This window comes from Homo sapiens, chromosome 2 (assembly GCF_000001405.40).
Source record: "Homo sapiens chromosome 2, GRCh38.p14 Primary Assembly".
NCBI lineage: Eukaryota > Metazoa > Chordata > Mammalia > Primates > Hominidae > Homo > Homo sapiens.
Window position 1 is genome coordinate 129441871 of NC_000002.12, and position 24046 is coordinate 129465916.

At 43.4% G+C, this 24046-nt stretch overlaps 1 long non-coding RNA gene across 1 annotated transcript; it reads left to right on the forward strand.

The window, feature by feature from the left end:
* Positions 1-1420: 1420 nt before the first annotated feature.
* Positions 1421-23777, forward strand: LOC105373613 (uncharacterized). The gene is made up of 3 exons (XR_001739710.2): positions 1421-1503; positions 20083-20217; positions 22246-23777. It is a non-coding gene; the product is annotated as an uncharacterized LOC105373613 (long non-coding RNA).
* Positions 23778-24046: the final 269 nt, after the last annotated feature.

Below are 24046 nucleotides of genomic sequence, written 5' to 3' on the forward strand. Positions count from 1 at the left end.
TCCCAGCACCCTGATTTCTCTTAGCTGACTCCCTTTATCCTATTGGCATATTTCATTTACCACAGTGGTTCATCCTGGGAGGTGCACAAATCCCAGTAACAGCCAATGAGAATGACATGTGGGCCTCATGCTGGTGCCATTGGCACTAGAGGCTCCTCTTTTTGCTGGATGTGCACAAGGGAGCATGTTGGCCTGGAGCTCTGGAGATGATCCCAAGAGGGCAAGGCTGGCAGAGAAGAATAGGGCCAAGAGATGAAGGGGCCACATCCTGATCCACCACCGAGCTCAATTCAGACATGACCAAACTGCCCTGACCTCGAACTGTTCAGTTATTCTGAAACCACCCCTATAAACTTTATGAAAATTAATCAAGGAAGAAGAGAGATGGGTAAATGAAATGAAAGCTGGCTTGCAGCACATTCAGCATTCATCACCAGGTTAGGCTGCTGTCTCACCTGCTTCCTCATGGTTGCTTGTTGCCTGATGTCCTAGAATCATGTAGACTCTGTTACAAGATTCCAGTTATCCTTACCTGCTCTATAGATAACAACTTGAATATTATGAAAGGTTAAGTTTTCCCTTTGAGAAATTCTTTTAGGTCCTGTATAAGAGTGAAACTACCAATGCCAGCTGGTCTGAAGGATGCCGCTGATGCCAGCTGGTCTGTAGGGCCCCACTGATGCCAGCTGTCTGAGGACCCCAGGAGGAGCTGACTCACCGAAGAGTGCAGTTTCCACATTCTGATAATTTCACCTTCTTTCCCCCAACCAATCAACGACCCCAGTCTTCCAGGCCCTCACCCTCCATGATCCCCATAGAAACCCCAGGCAAAAGTTCCTTGGGTAGAGGAATTTGAGGGTCTCCTCCCTTCTCCTTGCTTGGTGGCCTGCGATCACTACACTCTTTCTGTGCTGCATCCCTGTAGTCTCAGTGTTTTGGTCTGTTACTGTGCAGCAGGCATACAAACCTGTGAGTACTACAACAATTCCAGCAAGTCAATCCAATTCTAGTAGGATTTTCTGAAATGGAAACTTTGACAGACAAAGACAGAGAGTATATTTTAACAAACACTTCCCCTCATTCTTCAGGAAAAGACTGGTACAAGCCCTGAGGCAGATGGATCTATGAGAAGGGTCTGTCTGGATCAGCTCTGGTTCTTCTCCCTCTTATCACCAGGGTTTGCTTGTCCCCAGAGCCATGCATTTAATTTTCATTTGTTTTCTATATACTTCCAGTCAGATTTCAATAAATAATATATTCTCAGCCTTTCATCATAAATTTGTATCAGTCTAGAATAATTCCCAATTATATAACCTGCTTTGCCAGGAGGTTTGGCCTCCTGCTGGCCTCTGCAGAACTAAGACTGACTTATATCCTCTGTTTCTCACTTAGCCCCGTGGAAGCAAAGTCCCCATTGGATGCCAGCTCACCCCGACTTATCCTGGAGTTTTCTGTCCTGAGTTTTCCAACTTCTGCATGCAATTTTCTCTCCCACGCCAGCAAGTAAGTATTCACTCAGTTCACTGTTATCTTTAAAGGAATCTCCAGTGTGGATCTGACTGAGAAGCCTCCATTAGAGGAACAGGATGATGTGACACTTCCTGTGTTGCACTATTAAACCTCCCCTTGCCCCCACAACTTAGACTTTTTGGTTAACGTTCCTCACTCAGTCTCATTTGGGCTGTGTTGTTTATGCCCTTCCCTTCATCTGGAATGCCCATCCCTTCTCCACCTTTCTCTAGGTCCTCAACATTCAGGGACGGGAAGTTTCCCACCCTGTATTCTGAGATGATGACCTGGGCTCTGTATTGATGCCCCTTGTGCCTCTTTACAGACACCTGCCTCCACCTGCCTTGTTGTTTGTCTGTTTGCCTCCCCCACTAATTTATGAGATCCACTTAGAACATAACTCCCACCTCAGTCTCTTGGGAAAATGTAGGTGGTTAATAAATGTGTGTTAAAATATACTTAATTGAGCTAAACATGAAGTAATCTAAAAACTTGCAGTGGTAAAATCATTTAGTAAATTAATGTCTCTAGACAGGTGTGATCGCAGGGCTGAGAGTGGGCTGCCAGCATCTAATGATTCGGTGCATCCTTTCAGATTGAGCTGTGCACAGCTTTGTGGGCACTCTGAGGGACTGGGCAGCATTAATAATTCAGGTGCTCCATTCGGAGAGGCTTGGGCGGTGCCAGAGCCGGAGGAAAAGGCAAAATGACTCAAGCTGAGAGAGGAGTGGGGAGGAAAATGCCAGAACACAGCTCTAATCTTGACTACTATTTAAAAAAAATCTTCAGCTGTCAATTTTGTATGCAGAGCTTGTCAGACTCTCAAATGAACCAGGGGAGATTTCCTCACTAAAACTAGGAAAAGGTTATATTTGATGAGGGGGTTTGAAAGAGGAGCATTAAAAATTACAATTCTTGATAAAAATGTGGAGAATTTTTTAAACGTTTGGGAGAGCAATTTTGAAGGGTCACTGGGTGTATTCATCCCTGAAGTGGTCTCCCCCAGCTTTGTGCAGTCTTGGTGCAGGAAGAACAGCATTTCTGTGAAATCCTACAGTCATAATGAAGGCAAGCACCTTGGGAAAAGAGCAGTTTATATGCAGAGGTGAAGGAGAAGGAGAGGAAATGGATCACACTAGCTCCTCAAATCGACAGATAGTTACTGTAGCCTCCGCTCCCAGGGGCAGCTGCGGAGCTGGAAGCTCAGTAAATACAAATAGGCTCGAGGCCCTGCCTGTGCTCCCTCCCAGTCATGCCCAGGAGGAGCTCACTGTGGGATGCAGCACTCAAGGCAGGAACCTATGAAAAGGTGTCTAGTGACCTAATATCTGTATCAGGGCCCTGGTGAACACAGAGAGGCATAGAAGGCTGTTTTCTCCTCCAGAAGCTCACAGCATACTTGAAAAACAGTCCACAAACCCACACAAATTTACAAAACAGAAGTTTGCTCATGGCACAGAAAAACAATGAAGAAAGGTTTATAGTGTGTGCAGGCCATGTGTGGTCTCTAGATGAGATTGAAGGATGGGACGAGTGCTCTAGGTCATGGCGATGGAAAAGACTGTGGAAGATGCAGAGCTGGAGCTACAGAGTGAAGAGCAGGTTGGATGAATACCGACAGGAGCAAGTCGGAAGCACCGCTGCGCTGTGGGAGTGAGAGCACATGATGGATAGGTGGACACTGGCATCTAGCACTGACCAGCAGGAGCCATTCTTTCCCCTGCTGGAGTCTCAGCCCCTGTCCTTAGGATGATTGGAGGCTAACCATGGACAATTCCAGTTCGGCATCCTACGTTCTTTAAATAGGTGGTTGGAAAATTGGGGTTTGCAGGGGTTGAGGGCAAAATAGCAGAGAGACTAATTCAAAAAATGTAAAGAGAAGAGGAGTGTTCCTGTTTCCCCCTGGGATTGCAAAGAACATACACAGTCCACTCCATGGCCACTGGGACACTGCCAACCTAGACTAATTAAACTCAAATATCTAGCATAATGTCAAGGATTCTAATAATGTAACAACAACATTTTTTGAAATAATTATTAAGCAAAAAAATTAAATTGGTAAATACAAGTTTTGGCCTGATCATGAATATTTTCCAATGCTCAAATCAAGAATCTAAGATTTTTCATACCCAACATAATGTCAGGGACAGGCTGGCAGCAGGGATGACAGGAGATATGATCAGGACAGTTATTCCGGAGAGAGCATCCCAGAAGTTCATCACTCACTTATGACTATTTCAGTTTTTAAACAAGGCTCAAGTCTCATTTTCAGATATTCAATATTAAGTTAAGAAAAAGAAACTAAAGGGATAGAAAAAGATATACCAGGAAAATATTAAAGAAAACTGGTTTAACAAAAGAAAATTTAAAGCAAAAGGCAATTGTTATTGAGAAAAAGAATTCTTGAACACAATAAAATGACCGATTTTCAAGAAAGCTATAGCGATCCAGAGCCTGTAAATGCCTCATAACATGGTTTAAAATATACATAAAGGTAGAACGGACTGAATTACAAGGGTAAATTGAGGAACCTAAACAGATAAATAACTCCGATGGGTGAAAATGTATAAAGTAGAAAACCAAAAATAGAGAAGTTCATGAAAAACAAAAGTTATACTTTAAAAAAGACTAATAACATTAACAGACTCTAAAAATAAAAAGAAAAAATAATGCTAAGAATAAAGTAGAGACTAAGTTGCCCCTTAGTATCCACGGACAATTGGTTCTATGACACACCACAGATACTGAAATCTGAGGATACACAAGTCTCTGATATAAGATGGCATAGTATTTGCATAACCTATGCACATCCTCCTGCATAATTTAAATCATGTCTAGATTGCTTATAATACCTAATACAGTGTAAGTGCTATGTAAATAGTTGTTAAAGTGTATTTTTAAATTTGTGTTATTTTTTCATTTTTGTATTGTTACTTTTTTTTTCAAATATTTTCAATCCATAGTTGGTTAAATCTCTAGAGGAGGAACCCACAAATAAAGAGGGCTAACTGTATAAAAATATGTAGATATTTTAAAATTATAAAATAGATATCTTAGGGCTGCTATAAAAAATACGTTAGGTTGGGTAATTTATAAACAACAGAAATTTATTGCTCACTATTCTGGAGGCTGGGAAGTCCAAGATCAAGGTGCCAACAGATTTGGTGGAAGGTGTAGGCCTGTTTCTCATAGATGGCACCTTCTATGCATCCTCACATGGCAGAAAAGGCAGACAAGCTCCCTCAGACCTCATTTAAAAGGCCATTAATCCCATTCATGAAGGCTCCAAAGTCCCCATATCTTCATATCATCACCATGGGGGTTAGATTTCAACATATGAAGTTTAGGAGGGCACATACACCCACCAAAAATAAACAAGCCACAAGCTCAGGCAGTTTTGGAAGGAAATTCTATATTCCCAACCAAAATAATATAAAAGAGACTGTATATATTTATCTAGATAAAACAATCTGAAAAGTAGATCAAATATGTAAAGCCATGGTTTTTAAGACACTGCAACAAAGGACAGAGATTCTTGAGAGAGAGGAAATGAATGAAGTGAGCCCTAAAATTGCTACAACTTACTACACTGAGACAGTTTCAAAGTCATGGCACAGGATGGAAAAATCCCAGGGGAGCCCATTAGACTCCCTGCATTAAGAAGATGGAACTATAAATCATGCTGCTATAAAGACACATGCACACATATGTTTATTGCAGCACTATTCACAATAGCAAGGACTTGGAACCAACACAAATGTCCATCAATGAGAGACTGGATTAAGAAAATGTGGCACATATACACCATGGTATACTATGCAGCCATAAAAAAGGATGAATTCACGTCCTTTTAGGGACATGGGTGAAGCTGGAAACCATGATTCTCAGCAAACTATCGCAGGGACAAAAAACCAAATACCACATGTTCTCACTCATAGATGGGAATTGAACAATGAGAACACTTGGACACAGGGTGGGGAACATCACACACTGGGGCCTGTTGGGGGGTGGGGGGAGAGGGGAGGGATAGCATTAGGAGATATACCTAATGTTAAATGACAAGTTAATGGGTGCAGCACACCAACATGGCACATGTATATATATGTAACTAACCTGCACATTGTGCACATGTACCCTAAAACTTAAAGTGTAATAAAAAAAAAGAAGATGGAACTGAGACCATGGGGAAACCAAGACATAGATTTCCAAAAGCAGAGTACTAGAGAGAAGAGAGCTGCATAGAGAGAACCCTAGAGGGTCCCCAACACGTATTTAGTACAGTAGTGATCACCACATATTCATGAGAAAACTGAGGCTGAAGAAGAACAACCGAAAAAGATTAGAATGATGAATACCTGCCACACACACAGAACTCAATAGAGCCTGTTCCGACAGCCCCACCGGAAATATCTAGGACACACAGATCATTGGGTAGAGTTCTCAGAAGGGTCCTGTCTCAGTAGTAGGTAAGGATCAGCTCTAAGCTGAGCATTGCTCTGCACTCAGCTAAAACACAGTAAAAGAAAAACTTGAAAGCACCCAACTGTTTCAAACTAGGTAACTGCATCCCTGAACAAAGCTCAAGGATGATGATAGAAATACAAAAATACCCAGGATCTAACAACACAATTCTCAATATTTGGCATCTAATCAAAACCTCCAAGTGAGAAGAAAAATCATTCAAATGAAACTAATCGAGAACTGACACAGATGTCAACTCTGACAATGATGTAAAAAGTTATTATAACTGTACTGCATATGTTCAAAAAGATGAACTGAGGCACAGAGATATAATAAAGGCCAAAATCAAACTTGCTGAAATGAAATCTATATCCTAGGAGATGGAAAATTTACTGGATATTTTCAGTTTCAGATTCAACCTCAAAAGAGCTTGGAAATTATCACTTTATTCCTTACAACAGGAAAACAGCTGGACAAACTGAAAATCAATGACCTCTGGACCCATCAGAGAATTGAGGTTGCAGAGGAAACCACCTTAAAATTTGGATAGACAGCTGAATGCTGAGATTCAGAGCTGAGATCCGCTTACTAGGAGCTAAAGCCTGAAGTCATAAGCTAATAGAAACACTTAAAAGGTAATTTTGACAAATTGCTGAAGGCTGAGAACTAGCAGGAGAGTGAGAAACTCCTGAGGCTGTAGTCTTCGGGAAGGGCCCACACTTTCACAGGTTTTACCTCCAGAAACCCCACCAGGTTCTCACAGTGAAGAGCTGGGAAAAAAATTACCTTATGTCTCTGGCAGGGGGATGGGGAAAGTAGCCATTTTGATACATGATCAGTACAGTCTTCACTGGAAGGTTATCTTCTTCATGAGAACCAAGAGAGAACCACATTCAGGGTTATAAAACACACCTTAACTAAAATAAAGAGTCTGACTGCATTTTGTGATGTCTCACTACTAACATCTTCTAAGCCTCACTCCTTTTTCCTTTCTGCACCACATCTAGGTAAGCTAATAAGAATCCTAGGTTATTCCCCCTTTGGTACCAGTGGGAGTTTTAAACCATGCAAACTCCGTCCCATATGGAAACCCTCACTGTATCCCTACCTGAGCAAATTCCAAACTGAATATATACAATGAAACTTAAGTCAAGATACAACAAAATTAAAATTCTGAAAACTAAAGAGGAAAATCATGACAGTAGTCAGACATAAATAATAGATTACTTATGAGGGCACAACAATTTGAATAACAGCTGATTTCTCATCTGAAATCATGGAGGCTAAGATAAAGCAACACAACATTTTTAAGCACTTATAGCAAAGAACTGTTTCTTGTTAATTCTATGTCTTCAAAAATACCTTTTAGAAATGAAGGTGAAAAAGAAAAATTTCACATGAATAGCCTAACCTCCCACTTTAAGAAACTAATAAAAGAAGAGCAAACTAACCCAAAGGCAAGTAGAAGGAAGAAACATATATAAAGATTAGAGTAAAATTAAAAACTAAATAGAGCTAGAAAACAATAGAAACAACAAACCCAAAGCTAGGTCCTTGAAAAGATCAACAAAGTGGCAAATCTTTAGCCAGACTGATGAAGAAAAAAAGGGGGAAGAATCAAATTAGTAAAAAATTAGTGCAGTGGCTCACGCCTGTAATCCTAGCACTTTGGGAGGCCAAGGCAGGTGGATCACGAGGTCAGGAGATCGAGACCATGCTGGCTAACATGGTGAAACCCTGTCTCTACTACAAAATACAAAAAATTAGCCGGGTATGGTGGTGGGCGCCTGTAGTCCCAGCTACTAGGGAGGCTGAGGCAGGAGAATGTCCTAAACCCGGGAGGTGGAGCTTGCAGTAAGCCGAGATCATGCCACTGCACAGCCTGGGCAACAGAGCAAGACTTCATCTCAAAAAAAAAAAAAAATTGTAATGAAAAAGGAAACATCACTACCAACATGACAGAAATAAGAATAGCTATAAGTTAATACTATGAAAAATTGTATGACAAAAACTTACATAATCAAGAGGAAATGGACAAATTCCTAGAAAAACAAAACTAAGTAAAGAATACAGAAAATTTGAATATATCTATAACAAGTAGATTGACTGAGTTTTCTTTAAAAATTCTACAAAGAAAAGCCCAGTAGCAGTGGACTTCACTGGATAATTATATTAAACATTTAAGGAATAATTCACACCAATCCTTTATAAATTCTTTCGAAAGTAAAAGAAAAGGGAATATATCCTAATGCATTCTATGAAGCTGGTATCATTCTGATTCGAAAACTAACCAAATAAATCATTAGAAAACACAACTATTAGACCAATAATCCTTATGAATATGAACACTAAAATTTTCTACAAAATAGTGTCAAATGGAATCCAGCAGCACGTAAGAACAATTACATACCATGATTGACTGGAATGTACCTTAGGAAGACAAGATTGGTTTAACATATAAAAATCAATGTTATACACCACATTAGTAGAATAAGAGGAGGAAAAACACATAATCATCTCAACAGACACAGAAAAATCATTTGACAAAATCCAGCATCCTTTCATTAAAACACACACACACACACACACACACACACACACACACACACACACCTCAAATACTAAGAATAGAAGGGGAAGGGAACTTACTTGATCTGAAAAGGGGCATCTAGAATGAAAACACAGCTGATATAGAACTTAATGGTGATAGACTGAAAAATTTCCCCTAAATTCAAGAAGAAGTAAATGATGTCCACGCTGGCCACTTCTATTCAACATTGTACTGGAGGTCTAGCCAGTCCTTCGGTCAATAAAGTAAAATAAAAGACATTCAGCAAGAAAAGGGAAAACAGCAAAGCTATCTCTATTTGCAGATGACATGAATTTATACTGAAAATCCAAAAGAATAACCTGCAAAAATGTTAGAACTAATAAGCTAATTCAACAAGGTAGTAGACACAAGATCAACATATAAAATAATCTCCATTTCTATATATTAGCAATGAAAAATCTAAAAATAAAATTAAGAAAACAATTCCCAGGTACAAAATCAACCAAATGCAAAGAAAACCTACAAGATGGAACTCAAAAACTATGCATCTGATAAAGGCCTGATATCCAGAATCTATAAGGAACTTAAATCAACAAGCAAAAAACAAACAACTTTATGTGGGCAACGGACGTGAACAGGCATTTCTCAGAAGAAGATATAGAAGCCAAAAAACATATATAGAAGACAAAACACATATGAAACAAAAACACACATCACTAATCACCAGAGAAATGCAAATCGAAACTACAATGAGACACCATCTCACACCAGTCAAAATGATTTTTGTTAAAAAGTCAAAAAATGACAGATGCTGTCCAGACTGTGGGGAAAAGGGAAAGCTTATACACTGTTGATAAGAATATAAACTAGTTGAGCCACTGTGGAGAACAGTTTGGAGAATTCTCAAGGAACTAAGAGTTGAGTTACCATTCAAGCCAGCAACCCCATTACTGAGTATATAGCCAAAGAAAAATAAATCATTTTACCACAAAGACACAGCACCCATATGTACATTGCAGCACTATTCACAGTAGCAAAGACATGGAACCAACCCAGGTGCCCCATCAACAGTAGATTGAATAAAGAAAATGTGATACATATATGCCATGGAATATTACATAGCTATAAAAAAAATCATGTCTTTGCAGCAACATGGATGCAGCTGGAGGCCATTATCCTAAGCAAACTAATGCAGGAACAGAAAACCAATACCACATGTTCTCACTTGTAAGTGGGAGCTGAACACTGAGTACACATGGACATAAAGATGGGAACAGTAGACACTGGGGGATACAAGAGAGGGGAGGGAGGCAAGTGTTGAAAACTACCTATTGAGTGCTATGCTCACTTCCTGGATGATGAGCTCAGTTATACTCCAAACCCCAGCATTACACAATATATCTTTGTAACAAACCTGCACGTATAACCCCAATTCTAAAATAAAAGTTGAATAATAATAACAAAATTTAACCTTAAAAAGGGAAGACTTGTGCACTAAAAGCTGCAAAACATTGCTGAAAATTTAAACAAGACCTTAAAAATGCAAAGATAGCTTATGTAGTGGATCAGAAAACTTAATATTGTTAAAATGGCAACAGTCCCCAAATTGATCTACAGTTTCAATACAATACCTATCAAAATACCAAGTGCCATTTTTACAGAAATGGGTAAGTGGAAACTAAAATCATATGGAAATTTGAGCAAAGGAATAGCCCAATAGACAGGGATAACAAGGAAACAGCCAGAATAGATAAACAAGTCTAGAAAAAGAAGAAAAAAGTTGGAGGACTCACACTTCCCAAATCAAAACCTACTGCAAATCTATAGTGATCAAGAAAGTGTGGTGCTGGCATTATGTTAGAAATGTAGATGAATAAATACAATGGAATTGAGGGTCCAAATATAAACTTGTAATTATATGGTTAACTGATGATTGGCACTTATGCCTAAATCATGTAAGGGGATACAGAATAACCTTTTTGTCAAATGATGGTTGTACAACTGAATGTATACATGCTAAAAAATGAACTTGGAACTCTACCTCAAATGGTATACAAAAAACAACTCAAAAGGGAATCAAGACCTAGATGCAAGAGCTAAAATTACAAAACCATTAGAAGAAAGAATAGGTATAAATCTACATGATTTTGGATTAGGGAACAATTTCTTAGATATGACAAATGCATGAGCAACCAAAGAAAGAGTAGATAAATCTACTTCATCAAAATTAAATTTTTATTCATCAAAACATACTATCTAAATAGTTATCTATTTAACTAAAAAACTAATATAAAACCCACACCATATATATAAAAGCAGTAATTAACTAAATTGAAAATATTAGTATATTGAAAATTGTAAATGCTTAAAAAGGAAATCAAATAAGACCTAAATAAATACAGACACATGTCATGTTTACGGATTGGAACATTCAACATTGTGCAAACATCAACTCTTCGCAAATAGATCAGTAGGTTTAACAGAATCCTGATCCAATTCCCAGAAAAGTTTTTGTAGACATAGATGCTTACTCATAAATGTACATGAAAAAGCAAAGGACTTATGATAACTAAACATGATTTTAAAAGGAAGAGTAAAGTTAGAGGGATAACTCTACCCAATGTTAATGATAACTATATAGCTAAAGTAATCAAGGCAATGTAGTATTGGCACACGAATAAACACATAGACCAATGAAACACAATAGAAAGCCCAGAAATAGACTGATACAAATATACCCAACTGATTTTTGAAAAGGTGCAAACGCAGTTCAGTAAAGGAAAGGAAGAAGAGCTTTTCAACAAATGGTCCTGGAGCAATTGATCATCCACAGGCAAAAAAAGAGAAGATATGCTTAAATGTAACACCTAAAACCACAAATCCTTTAGAAAGCATAGGAGGAAATCTTTGGGACTTAGAGCTAGCTGAAGTTATTAAAGTTGACACACAAAAAAATATGTAATTGAATCTCATCAAAATTTAAAACATTTGGTCCGTAAAAGACCCTTTAAAGACAATGAAAAGACAAGCTACAGAGTGGAAGACAATGTTTTCAAATCACATATCCTTCCAGCTCATCCATGTCTCTGCAAAGGACATGATCTCATTCCTTTTTATGGCTACATAGTATTCCATGGTGTATAACAGCAAACTAATGCAGGAACAGAACACCAAACACTACATGTTCTCCCATGTTAAGTGGGAGCTTAACAGTGAGAACATATGGAAACAGGGAGGGAAACAACATATACTGGGGCCTTTTGAGGGAGTTGGGTTGGGAGAGGGAGAGCATTAGGAAAAATAGCTATCGCATGCTGGGGTCAATACCTAGATGATGGGTTGATAGGTGCAGCAAACCACCATGGCACATGTTTACCTGTGTAACAAACCTGTACCTCCTGCATGTGTACCCCAAAACTTAAAATAAAAATAAAATTTTTTTAAAAAGAAAAAAACGCATATCCTTAAAGGGACTTATATAGAGAGGATATAATACACTCTCAAAACTTAACAGTAAAAAATGCAAATAATACAATGAGAAAATGGCAAAAGACATACAGAAACATTTTACCAGAAAGGATATACAAATTGCAAATAAGCACATGAAAAGATGTTCAACTCACTAGCTATTAGGGAAATGCAGATTAAAAACAATGCTCTCTCTCTTCACACCTATCGCAAAGGTTTAAAAAAGAAAATGATAGCACTAAATGCTGGTGAAGATACAGAAAAACGAACTCATACAATGCTGGTGAGAATGCCAAATGTAGACCAAACCCTGGAAAATGGTCACTTTCTTAAAACTAAACATGTACTTGCCATGCAACTGCACTCTTTGGCCATTATCCCAGAGAAATAAAAACTTACTTTCACACAAAAACCTGTACAGGTATATTAATGGTAGCTTTATTCTTAATAGCCAAAACCCATGAACAACCCAAATGCTCTTCAAGAGCTGAATAATAAAGAAACTGAGAGGTACCCCTATACCAAGGTATATACTACTTAGCAGTAACAAAAATGAAAGAAATATTTATACACACGGTGACCTGAATAAACCTTAGGAATATTATGCTAAGGGAGAAAAGCCAATCTCAAAAGTGCACATAGTATATGATTTCATTTATAGAACATTCTTGAAATAACAAAATTACAGAAAGGAAAACAAAGTAGTGTTTGTCCAGTGTTAGGGAGGGGGGTTGTTGTGTGGGTGTGGCTGTATAAGGGGGTAACAGGGGTGAGCTGCTCAGTGATGCAACCGTGTTTCTTGACTGTAGTGGTGGTGATGCAAATCTACATATGTGACAAAATCACACACACACAGGCAACGATGTCAAACTGGTAAAATCTGAATAAGCTCTGTGGATTGCTAATTTCCTGGTTTTGGCATTGTACTATAATCGTTCAAGATGTCACCATCGAGAGAATCAGGGTGAAAGATAAATGGGTCCTCCAGAACATTTGTTTGCAACTCCTTGTGAGCCTGTATTTCAAAATAGAAAGCAGGGCTGGGCGTGGTGGCTCACGCCTGTAATCCCAGCACTTTGGGAGGCCGAGGTGGGTGGATCACCTGAGGTCAGGAGTTCAAGACTAGCCTGGCCAACATGGTGAAACCCCATCTCCATTAAAAATACCAAAAAAAAAAAAAAAAATTAGCCGGGCGTGGTGGTGCATTATTGTAACCCCAGCTACTCGGAAGGCTGAGGCAGGAGAATCGCTTGAGTTCAGGAAGCAGAGATTGCAGTGAGCCAAGACAGCGCCACTGCGCTCCAGCCTGGGTGACAGAGAGAAACTTCGTCTCAAAGAAAAAGTCCATTTAGGAATGGACTTTTGACACATGCAAAAATACAGAGGAAGCTCAAAATAATTACACCAAGTGAAAGAAGCCAGACAAAAGTGAGTATATAATCTATGATTCATTTAAATAAATTTATTAAAATGCCAATTAAGCTTTAGTAATAGAAAGCAGAGCAGTAGTTGCCTGGGACTATTTTGGGAAAATTCAGAGGAGGGAATGGGATTCAAGAAGGAGGAAGAATTTTTTGTGGTGGCCTGTATGTTCATTACCCTGCCGTGGTGACAGCTTCCCAGGTGCATACATGCGTCAAAAGATAACAAACTGTATGCATTAAATATATGTAGTTTATTGAATGGCAATTACATTTCAATAAAACCAACTTTTTAAAAAGGCCCTCCCAGAGAAGAAATTAAAAGGAATGTCCCACAGCTACTTTATAAAGCAAGCGTAACCCCTTAATACCAAAATCAAGGACAGTAAAGAAGGCAAAAATGACAGCCCATTCTTATGAAGTAAATACAGAGATCTTATATAACATACATTAAGTTGAGTTTATGCCAGAACTGCTAAATATTTAAACATTAGAAAACCTATCAGTGCGTTTTGTTAATCTGAAATGCTATTGATTATAACACATGGATGTTTAATGCAACACTAAGCAGAAAAGACTTTCCATTTGAAAAAAAAAATCTTCTCCAAACCTATAACAGACTATTGATTTTAAGGTAAATCCCTATTTTGGAAATATTGATATGCATGTCTTAGATAGATGATAAACAGTAATTAAAACAAGCCATTGGAAAATGAAATACATTACTCATGTTTTAACACGGAAAAATATTTGGGTTGTATCAATAGATACTAAAAAGGCTTAAATCAAGTTTACCACCTATTATTCATGGTTTAAAAATAGGCAATTTCAGTGAGCAAGAAATAGAATTTCCTAAATGATAAAGAACATCTACAACAAACACTTAATAATGAGTCATTAAAAACATTTTCTTTAACACAGAAGTCACGATAACCACACTAAGTCAGCTAAAACAAAACAAGACAAAGAAGTCAGAGACATTATGATTGCTTACTTAGAAAATTTAGGAAATTTATTAGAACCATTAGAACTAATTAGAATAAATGGTTAAACATGGTAGAACTAATGGTGAAACTACTTAGTATAAATGGTTGATTATCAGATGGATATGCAAAAATTAAAAACATTTCCATTGATTAGCAATAACCACTAAGAATAGGCAATAAAATAGAAGATTCCAGTCATGATAGCACAGAAAATAAATCATATAAAATAATTCCAAATAAACACAGGCAGGACTTCTGTGTATATCAATGATAACTTGATTGAAAGGCACAGCAAAAAGCTGAACAAATGAAGAACTCCATCAGCCTAATGTCTGCCAAGATCCAACAGCTTAAAATGTCAGCTCTCCCAAAACTCATCTACAAATTCAATGTCATTCTAATCTAAATCCCAGCAGAGTTTTCCCTGAAATTTGCCAGCTGATTCTAATATTTATGTAGAAACTTAATGGCCCAAGTATAACAAAGATGATTTTGCAAAAGAATAAGAGGGGGACACACCGTATCAGGGCTGGGACCTGAACAGAGGCCCACCCACCCTGCATCCCATGGGATAGCTGGCAGACCCCGGTCCAGCTGTGAGCCAGGGAGGAGAGCTCTCTGCTCGGCCACAGAATGACCCAGCCCTGGGCTAAGTGCTGGCAATGCAGCTGCTCTAGGCATGGGTGGGCACTTGTAGCTGATGTTCATTTGGCTTGACACAGGTGCTGTTTGATTCTCCCTCCCCAATTAAATTCTGCAGTTCCACCAGTCATGGACATCATTTTGTAAAAACAAACATGCAATTAAGTTGCTTAGTGTCTAAGCTAGCTTGTAATGTAAAATGGGATCGTTTATACTGGTAATTCTGGAAGGGGAAAAAAGAGAAGAATTCTTTCTGCTTCCAGTTCAGGTCCTTATCTTATTTTTGCACATTTGCTCTCCTCTCAAATATGATGTGTTCCAATTGCCATTTTTCACAAGGAATGAGTTTGAGTCATTAAAAAGTTGCTCCCAAACACTGCAGCTGTGGCTAGGGGCTAGATAGCCCCCTCACCCACCCACCATGCATCTGGGTTTTGCAGCTACTCACTTACCTGTGACACTTGATCCAGCTCTCACCCATGAATCAAGGGACTCCCCAAGAGCCTGTTCTCACCCAGAGAGGACCTTGGCAGAGAGCTGTGGACCCCCTCACCACACACACAAGGAAGAAAAGGAATCTCTTTCCTCACTACATCCACCCCGGGTGCCTGCCACCTAGCCCTGTGGCTCAGGGTTCCACAAAAGTGGGAGCCACTCCAAACAGCTGCCAACAGCTCCAGACAACTGGAACCATATCCCGGCCATGACTTGGTTGGGGCGGGGGAGAGTTGCCAAGGTGAGAGAGGACATTTTGCTAAGATTTATGAAACGACCAAGGCAGTGTTTAGGCCAACCATGGAAAGGAAGTCTTCTGTAGAAAGTTCTGGCTCCAGAGAAGGAAGACACAGAAGGTGTCTTCTATGGTGACACACAACACGTGGCCAAGCCCAAGCAAGGCCCAGGGGAGGGATCACAATACATGTCTGGTGTTGTGGGATGAGTTGGGTATTCAAGCAAGAGGGAGCCCTAAAGAGGCGGGAGCTAGCAGAATTAGTGTTGCTGCCTCTGTGAGGCTGGTTTTCTCCCAGAGTAACCTAAATATCTGGTTGTCACTCCTGAAACAAACACACGTGCACACACACAGGCATACAAACACAAGCAAACCATTGCACCAAGTACTGCAGAGCCACACACTTGCTGAGGACCCTGCAGGGGAGAGCAGTGAGGGGCTCTCCCCACGAGCCACAGGTCAAAGCCATGTGGGTAGTCAACTCCTTTCAGCCACGTCTGCTCTCCTGGAGGCCTGAGCTCTCCCCCACCCTCTCTGGTTGGGAGGGAAACCAGCTTCCACTCCCAGATCCCAGCTCCAGCCTGAAGTTCACCGCCACCCTCAGTGGGCTTACCAAAGGCTCCTGCCAGCTGCAACTACCATGCCGGTGGTGGAGACGCCGTCACATGTGCATCCATCTGGGACAGAAGCCTGTGCTTGGCTTTGCTCTATCAGGCCAGACCGATGTGGCAAAGCTGTAATAACTGCAGCAGCTGCAAATGGGCTCCAACCTGGAGTTTCAGAATCACCCTGCTCAGCAGAGCAACCTGGGAGCCTTGCTCTGGGGGATTCAATAAGAGGTCAGGAGACTTGCCGCAAAACATTTATAAAATGACAGGCCAATCAGACAATCTGTGAACTTCATTTTTTCAGCTGCTGAATGGGGATAATGAAAGCTCCCTGCCACACACCAAAGGGTGAGTAATATGAGAAGAAACACACATGGTCCCCAGGGAGGGAGGGGATGCCAGTGTCAGGGTCACTAGCTCCACCCGCATGGCCGAGCCCATGTGGATCTGTAGGAAACACTGCCTGTTCTGTGAGACGAAGCCCCCTTTGACTTTCTCGGCTGCACTCATTTTACGCTCCTGCTCCCACTGCTGCCATATTAGTGGGCTCTGGCTGCCGTAACAAAGTGTCACAGACAGGGCAGCTTAAACCACAGAAATGTATTTTTTCAAGCTCTGGAGCCTGGAAGTCCAAAATCAAGGTGCATGTAGGTTTGGTTTCTCCTGAGGCCTCCCTCATCTGCATGGAGGTGGCCGTCTGCTCACTGCATCTTGGAGTGGCCTCTCCTCTGTGCCTGTGCACCCCTGGTGTCTCCTCCCCTTCCTATCAGGACTCCAATCATATCAGATTAGGGCCCACCCTCAGCCTCATTTTAACTTCATCACCTCTTTACCTACCCTGTCTCCTAATACAGTCACATTCTGAGGTTCTGGGGGTTAGGGCTTCAACATATAAACTTGGGGGACACAGTGTAGCCCATAACACCCCCCATTGAGCTCTCCCCCTTCTCAGTTCAGTATAAATGCAGGGTGGGGTGGCAGGCACTCTCACTAAGTTTCCTCCTTCCATGATCTAATCCAGTCCATGGCCTGGCGTCCCATCTTTAGGCCATGCATTCGGCATGGAGGGGGTAGCTCAGGAGGAGCTGGTCACAAAGGGAAGGAAGTGCAGCTGCAGCTGCATGGAATGGCATCGGTCAAGGAGGAGGCCCTGGACACTTCGTGGCCGCTGCTTCTCCCCTACGCTCAGTGGCCTCCTTTTTGGGGAATCGAAAGCCGGGGGCTGAACTGTCCTGATCAGACAGAAGCATGAGCAGGACTCTGCTGCTGTATTGCTCAGCTCCCAGCAGCCTCGCTGTGGGCACGGGCAGATCCAGTGCCTTCCCTGGGGACCTGGAGGGACAGCTGTAAATGGGAAGACAGCGTGAAATGTTCACTGTGCACTAATGTGTGCTAACAACTTTGCCCAGATCAGCACAAAATGAGAGGCGACAGCTGTGCACAACCCCACTTCCCAAGGATGTTGGTGACATCACACCCATCATCCCTATCCGGCATCAGTGCCATCAGCTGTCCTGGCTGTGAGGAGCAGGCCAGGTGAGGCAGGGCCGGCACCAGAGTGAGTGGCCACAGCCGGCAAAGGCCTATAGAACCAGCAGGTCCTTCCCTCAGAGTCAGTGTAGAGCATCCAACACCCATGCTTGCCACTGGCTTTTCTTTCTACACATTCAGGACACCCGGGAAGATCTCCTGCCTAGTGGGAAAAAAACTCACTGTTTCCCTGAGACAACTGGGACAGGGTCACAGCAGTGCCTGGGCCCTCCAGCTGAGACTGCAGTCGACAAGCGTGAGTTTAAGGAGAGGACAAGCAGGGTCCAGTGGAAAGCCTCACAGAGACCTGGGAGAAGGTGCTGTCTCAGGCTGGCCTGGAGAATCCACTGCCTCCACAAGCGTGCCCTGCTTGGCGACCGGCCGCCTAGGAGGAGGCCCTGGGGTTTCTCCAGAGCTTCTCACAAGCTGAGTTCAGGGTGGAAATCCCTGCTACAGCATCCTAATCATCCAGATTCTTGAACACTCATTCAACCCAGGTAGTCCAATCTGCAAAGGGACAGTTTATGAGAAAGGCCTTTCTTCATTTGAGCCCATAACTGCTGTACACTGCTATGTGTGTGTGCGTGTGAACCTGCAGGTAATAGGCAGCACCGTGTGAAGTATGTATACCCCTGCTCAGCCGTTCCACAGACACCTATCCTTCAGAAATACCCACAGCAGTGTGAAAAACAGCAGTGTGCCAGGATGCTCACTGGGGAATAGTAATGATGCAATTATTGCATTAGGCAGGATGCACTGGGACTGTCCAGATGACCATGTCACAGGGTGTGGTGGCGATTCCAGGGTCAAACGATGGATTGTATGTGACGACCTTGGAGATTATTCCAGTTGTAGGCACTTGACTGTTCAGCTATAGGAAGCTTTGGTCTCACTGTCTTCTATCTCACTGTCTCTTCCTTGCTTATGTCCCCACTCCCACTCCCACTGGCACAGGCTATGGAGAAGGGGACAGGCATTGGTGAGCACCCAGAGCCTCTGGGCCTCCCCCAGTCACTCTGCAGGGAGGGAACCCAATATGCCCCATTGAGCTCTCTTCTTGGAAGACCCCGCGAATCTGCCAAAGCACGCGCTCTCCTGCAGGCAGGAAACCTACAGAGCTGCCGTGGGGGCACATCACATCTGCCCACCCAGGGCAGGTAAGGCAGCAATGGCCTGAGGGCTACCAGGAATGGAGCTGGCAGGTGGCAGGGCCTCCAGTCTCTCCCCAGAGCACAGCACAAGTGTGGTTATGGAGGAGCAGAGACCACAGCAAGGCCCTAATGGAAACAATAAGGGTCAGTCTGGGGCCGAGTGCCAACCTTGCAGAGTGAAGTCTGAAGCATGGATAGGAGGGAAGCTGGAATGTTCCCCAAGCCAGTGCTGAAGCCCAGAACCAAGAGGAAGAAGAGAAAAGGAGGCCAGATCATGCAGTAGCAGCAGTTTCTACGTCTTCAGGCAGTGCAGAACCACTGAGAACAGTGAGAAAAATTGATAGACCATCTACTTATTGACTTTTTGCAGGTGAGAATTTATGCCCTCATTTGCCAGACATTTTATTCAATCTAAAGTTTCCTCCCTCCTCTCGGGGTCTTTGGAAGTGGTGTGTTCAACCAGAGGAGCAGTCTACCAGTTATTTTCTATGCATTTGTGAAAGTTACAGACACCAGGATGAAATCACTCTTGTCAGACAGACCCAGACAAAACAGGGCAAACTAGACATGAAGGAGGGTGCTCATGCTTGCCTGTATAAAAACAGTTTCCAAGGACTTTCTCAAACCCCACAAGAAAACCCTTCACATCTTTCATGCATCTCCCACTCTGCATGGCTTGCACATTTCACGTGCATGCGTATATTTCTACGATAAGGTTTATCACTGGACATTCTTTGGGACGGCAGCAATTCAGATAAAATGCCCTTGAGAGAGCACCTGCCCAGTAACAACACCTCCACCAACGGACTGATGCCAGTGCTGACTTTGGGCCTCCAGAACTAGTGAAATCTATTTCCCAGCAGCTTAAGTGAATTCCTCCCTTTTGGCCAAAAAAGCTTCCTCTTACTGGTCGTCACTGGTCACACCTATGGCTTGCCATGGTATATTCCAGATTGTAATCCTCTTTTCTATTTATCAATAAATTTAACACATTTGGAGATTCTTTTCTGGTATTCTTTTTATAGGTTGACACATTCAACTGAACTTTGCTGAGTTCCCGTTCATGCTGGAGACATAACAGCAAGCATCTTTCCCCTCAGGCTGCTCCTTGCTGGGATGGTTGAGGAAGGGCAAACGAGGAAATACACCTGCACAATAAGGTATGCTCAGTGCCAGGATAGTGTCAGGTCAGGTGCTTTGGTTGTACTAAGAAGGGTCACCCACCCAGTCACAGGAGTCTGTGGCCATTCTTGGAAGGAATGACAGTCAAGTCAGGGCCCAAAAAATGAGCAGAAGTGAACTTGGCTGGGAACCAGGATGGGCCCAAGAAGAGATGAGGAGTCAGCAGACCATTGCAGGCACACAGCAGAGGGGCAGGTGCACACGAAGTCAGGTAGCAAGAATAAGAACGTAGGTGCTTGTGAAACCTCAGCACATCAGTGTGATGGAGCCAAAAACGGGCAGAGAACTGGATGGGGCACGTTAGGAATGTGGACATTTTATGAAAGGCAGTAGAAACCTAGAGAGTGACACAATTAGGTGACTCCTCTCTCTTTCAGGGTCCTAGCTGCCTGTTTGTTGCTTCTGTCCTGAAGCTCTGGGTACAACAGCAAGACCCAGATAAATCGAGGCCTGCATGGGAATGCTTTTCTAAGGGTTTCCTAGGCAGGTGTGTGAGGCTCAGGCCAGCCTGGCTCTCCTATGGTTTAATAATGTAGATGAAGGTTTGCTCCAGGAGTGCTGAATGAAGCAGTGTCTTGAAACCACTGTTGGGTTTCCTTGGATGGGTTTTCATCTTAATAACCATTGTGCATACACATTCAGCCTCAGAGTTCCCTTTGCCATTACTATAGGGACCTCAGGGAGGACAAAGCAGGGAGAGAAGAAATGGCTCTGCAAAGTAGCCAAGGCTTTCACGGTAGTGAGCATGAAAGGAGAAAGACCAGTCGGCTCCCTGAAGCTCCATTTTATCCCGGGCTTTCTTGTTGAGAACTGGGTGGGAACAAGTTTGCCTAAAGCTGCTGTGAGGTTTAGCATATACAAGTCTCCTTGCAGTGGAATCAGGGCAAAGGATCTCTTTCCCTAAACCTCCTTCTTGGTTTAGGAATGAATGTGCTCTCAGCCACTGGGTAGTCCTTGGCTTCCTAGATGTGGCTCAGAGAACAGCCAGAACAGGCTGTGAAGGCAGAGCGTCCCCATTCCACAGGAGCAGGGCCTCCATCCAGGGACAGTCGCTGCCTTGGGCCTGTGCCACTGGGTCTGGGTTCTGCCCTTTGTGGTGATGGAGGTTGTGCTGGATGGTCCACAGTTTTCTCCTAAGAATAGAATTCTGGGCATGGGGTCCGGGCACAGTGGATCACGCCTATAATCCCAGCACTTTGGAAGGCCCAGGTGGGTGGATCACTTGAGATTGGGAGTTCAAGACCAGCCTGGCCAACATGGTGAAACCCCGTCACTACTAAAAATACAAAAATTAGCTGGGCATGATGGTGCATGCCTGTAATCCCAGCTACTTAGGAGGCTGAGGCAGGAGAATTGCTTGAACCCAGGAGGCAGAGGTTGCAGTGAGCTGAGATCGTACCATTGCACTCCAGCTCTGGGCGACAGAGCAAGACTCCATCTCAGGGGAAAAAAAAAAATTCTGGGCGTGGGGTCTACTCACAGCTGGTGTGTTGGAAATAGTCCATAACCTCCCGCAATGCACTCCTTACCTGGTGGGGGTGACCAGGTGCTCCCCATGTCCCACACCACCCCTCTGAAAATGCAGGAGAGCTAAGCAGGGGAGATGTTAGGACCCCTCCTTACCAGCACTGGTGGATCCACCTGCCTGAAATCAGGTTGATACTCCAGTGCTCTTCTGGTGGGGGCCAGAACTGAATTCAGACCTCAAGTTCTAGGCACCATAACAGCCCAGGACCTTGGGGACACACTTACCTACAGGAACCAAGAAACCCTCTGATCCCCAGAGTTCATACCATAAATTTACTCAGAAGACCTGCAGGGCTGAGCCCAAGTCCAGGGTAGCCACCGCCACGTGCATTTCACCTCCTTACCTTGGGTTTCACCACTGTCTTCCCTGTTTCTTTCCCTTGCTACCTGGAATCCATTCCCAAATAAGCTAGCTGCATGTGGGTTTTTGTTTCAGATTATACCTCTACTTTTTGAAAATGTCAGTTACTTCTACCTAGGTTTTAGAATTGAGACAAAATTCTACGAGCCTTAGATGGAAGAACTGAAACCCCCAGCCGACCACAGCCTGGGCGCATTTCCCTGGCTTTGCCTGATGCAAGTTTCCAGTCATCGCACAACTGTGTAGCTGGTAAAGCAGCCCAACCCCTCAATGACTTATATAGATGGTGTTCCTCTTTTCCATGAGCAGCAGTGGTGACTTCTCAGAGACTTTGAGAGGCCTGAAGTATATCATGTACTGGTTCACATTTTCTGGGCCTTCTCTGTGCAAATCTACATTGTGGATGGAAATGGTGGACAGAACTAAGTACCACTCCTGAAGAAACCCATCCTCGTGTCTCAGAGGGCAAAGCCAGGGCCACATTCAGGCTCATGCCCTCCTCAAGCCCATAGTGCACCTCACCCGGCTGACCTTCACTTCCTGCTGCTCCCTCTGTTCATTCCCTCAGCTCCCTCCCACTGTGGGTTTTGCCAGTTACTTCCACACTGACGCCCCCACCCCACCAGTCCACATGTGACGGCCATCCAGGCCTCCCACTATCCTTCCCTTCCTAGCCAGGACCCTGCCCTCTTCTCCAGGTCCCTGCCATTCCCTGACAACATTGTGGGGAAGGATTCCCCAGGCTGGCCCTCTCCACCCTGCACACAGGCTCCGCCCCAAGGCCAGGATGGAAGTTTCATTGATGTGGTCACATGGTCCCAAGTGATCAGCCCTCTGGGCCTCCCCTACCCCCACGCCTCATGCACACCGCCACCCTCAAGAGTGGGAAGCCAGGGAACCATCTCAGGTCATCTCAGGTCATGCCCATCAGTACCTTCCTTCAAGATGCCCGCGCTGGCTGTAGGAGGGACTTTCTTCTTGCTAGAGACTTTTTCATGGTTCAGTAAGCATGGCCATTCTTGCCCTATGATGACATCCTTGGATGAGTGCTATGATCAATGTGACATTTCAACGGTGCCTGACTGCTCACTCTGTGGATGTGGACTGTGGCTGACCCACTGCCAGGCCAACATCAAAGCCTACTCACTGCTCACTTCTACTGCGAAATGGACTCAACACAGGCCGTGCAGACTCCGGCGGAGCCTGGGCTTCATCTGGGACAGACTGACTGTGTGGACAGCTGTGAGGCTGTTATGGTGAGGACGTGCCCCTATATGCGCAGGAGGCGAGGGGCCACCCTGTTTCCAACCTAGACAAAAGACAGGGCACGCGCACAAAATATAAAATAAGAGCCCTGTTGACATCCCTTCAGCCGGTCCTCCCAGCCCCATTGTCCAGACCAAGCCCAAGGGGTGGGGGAAGCACAGTGTCCTCAGGGCAGTGGTCTGAGGTGCCTTCTGCCCCTTTCTGGGCTCTGGGGGGTGCTGGAGGCCTCCTCAGGGTTGCCAGGGCTGGGTGCTGTGCGTGCATGGCTCCTGGGCACCTGCTGTGGTTGGAATGCTTGTGCCCCTCCCAAATTCATGTGGGAACAATCTCCACTGCAAAAGTGTAGCTAGATGAGGCCTTCAGGAGGTGATTAGGTCATGCGGGCTTCTCCCTGTGAGTGAAATGGAGGCCTTTTAAAAGAGGATTCACACAGCATTGGCCTTTTACCCTTCTATCCTCCACGTGGGAGATGCAGTGCTGAAGGCGCCGTCTTGAAGCAGCAAGCAGCGCTCACCAGACACCAAACCTGCCCCCAGAACTGTGAGAAATAAATGTCTGTTCTTTATAAATTACCCAGTCTCAAGCATTTTGTTATTGCAGCACAAAACAGACTAAGACAGTGCCCTTAGGTGGCATGGCTGTTCCCATCACAT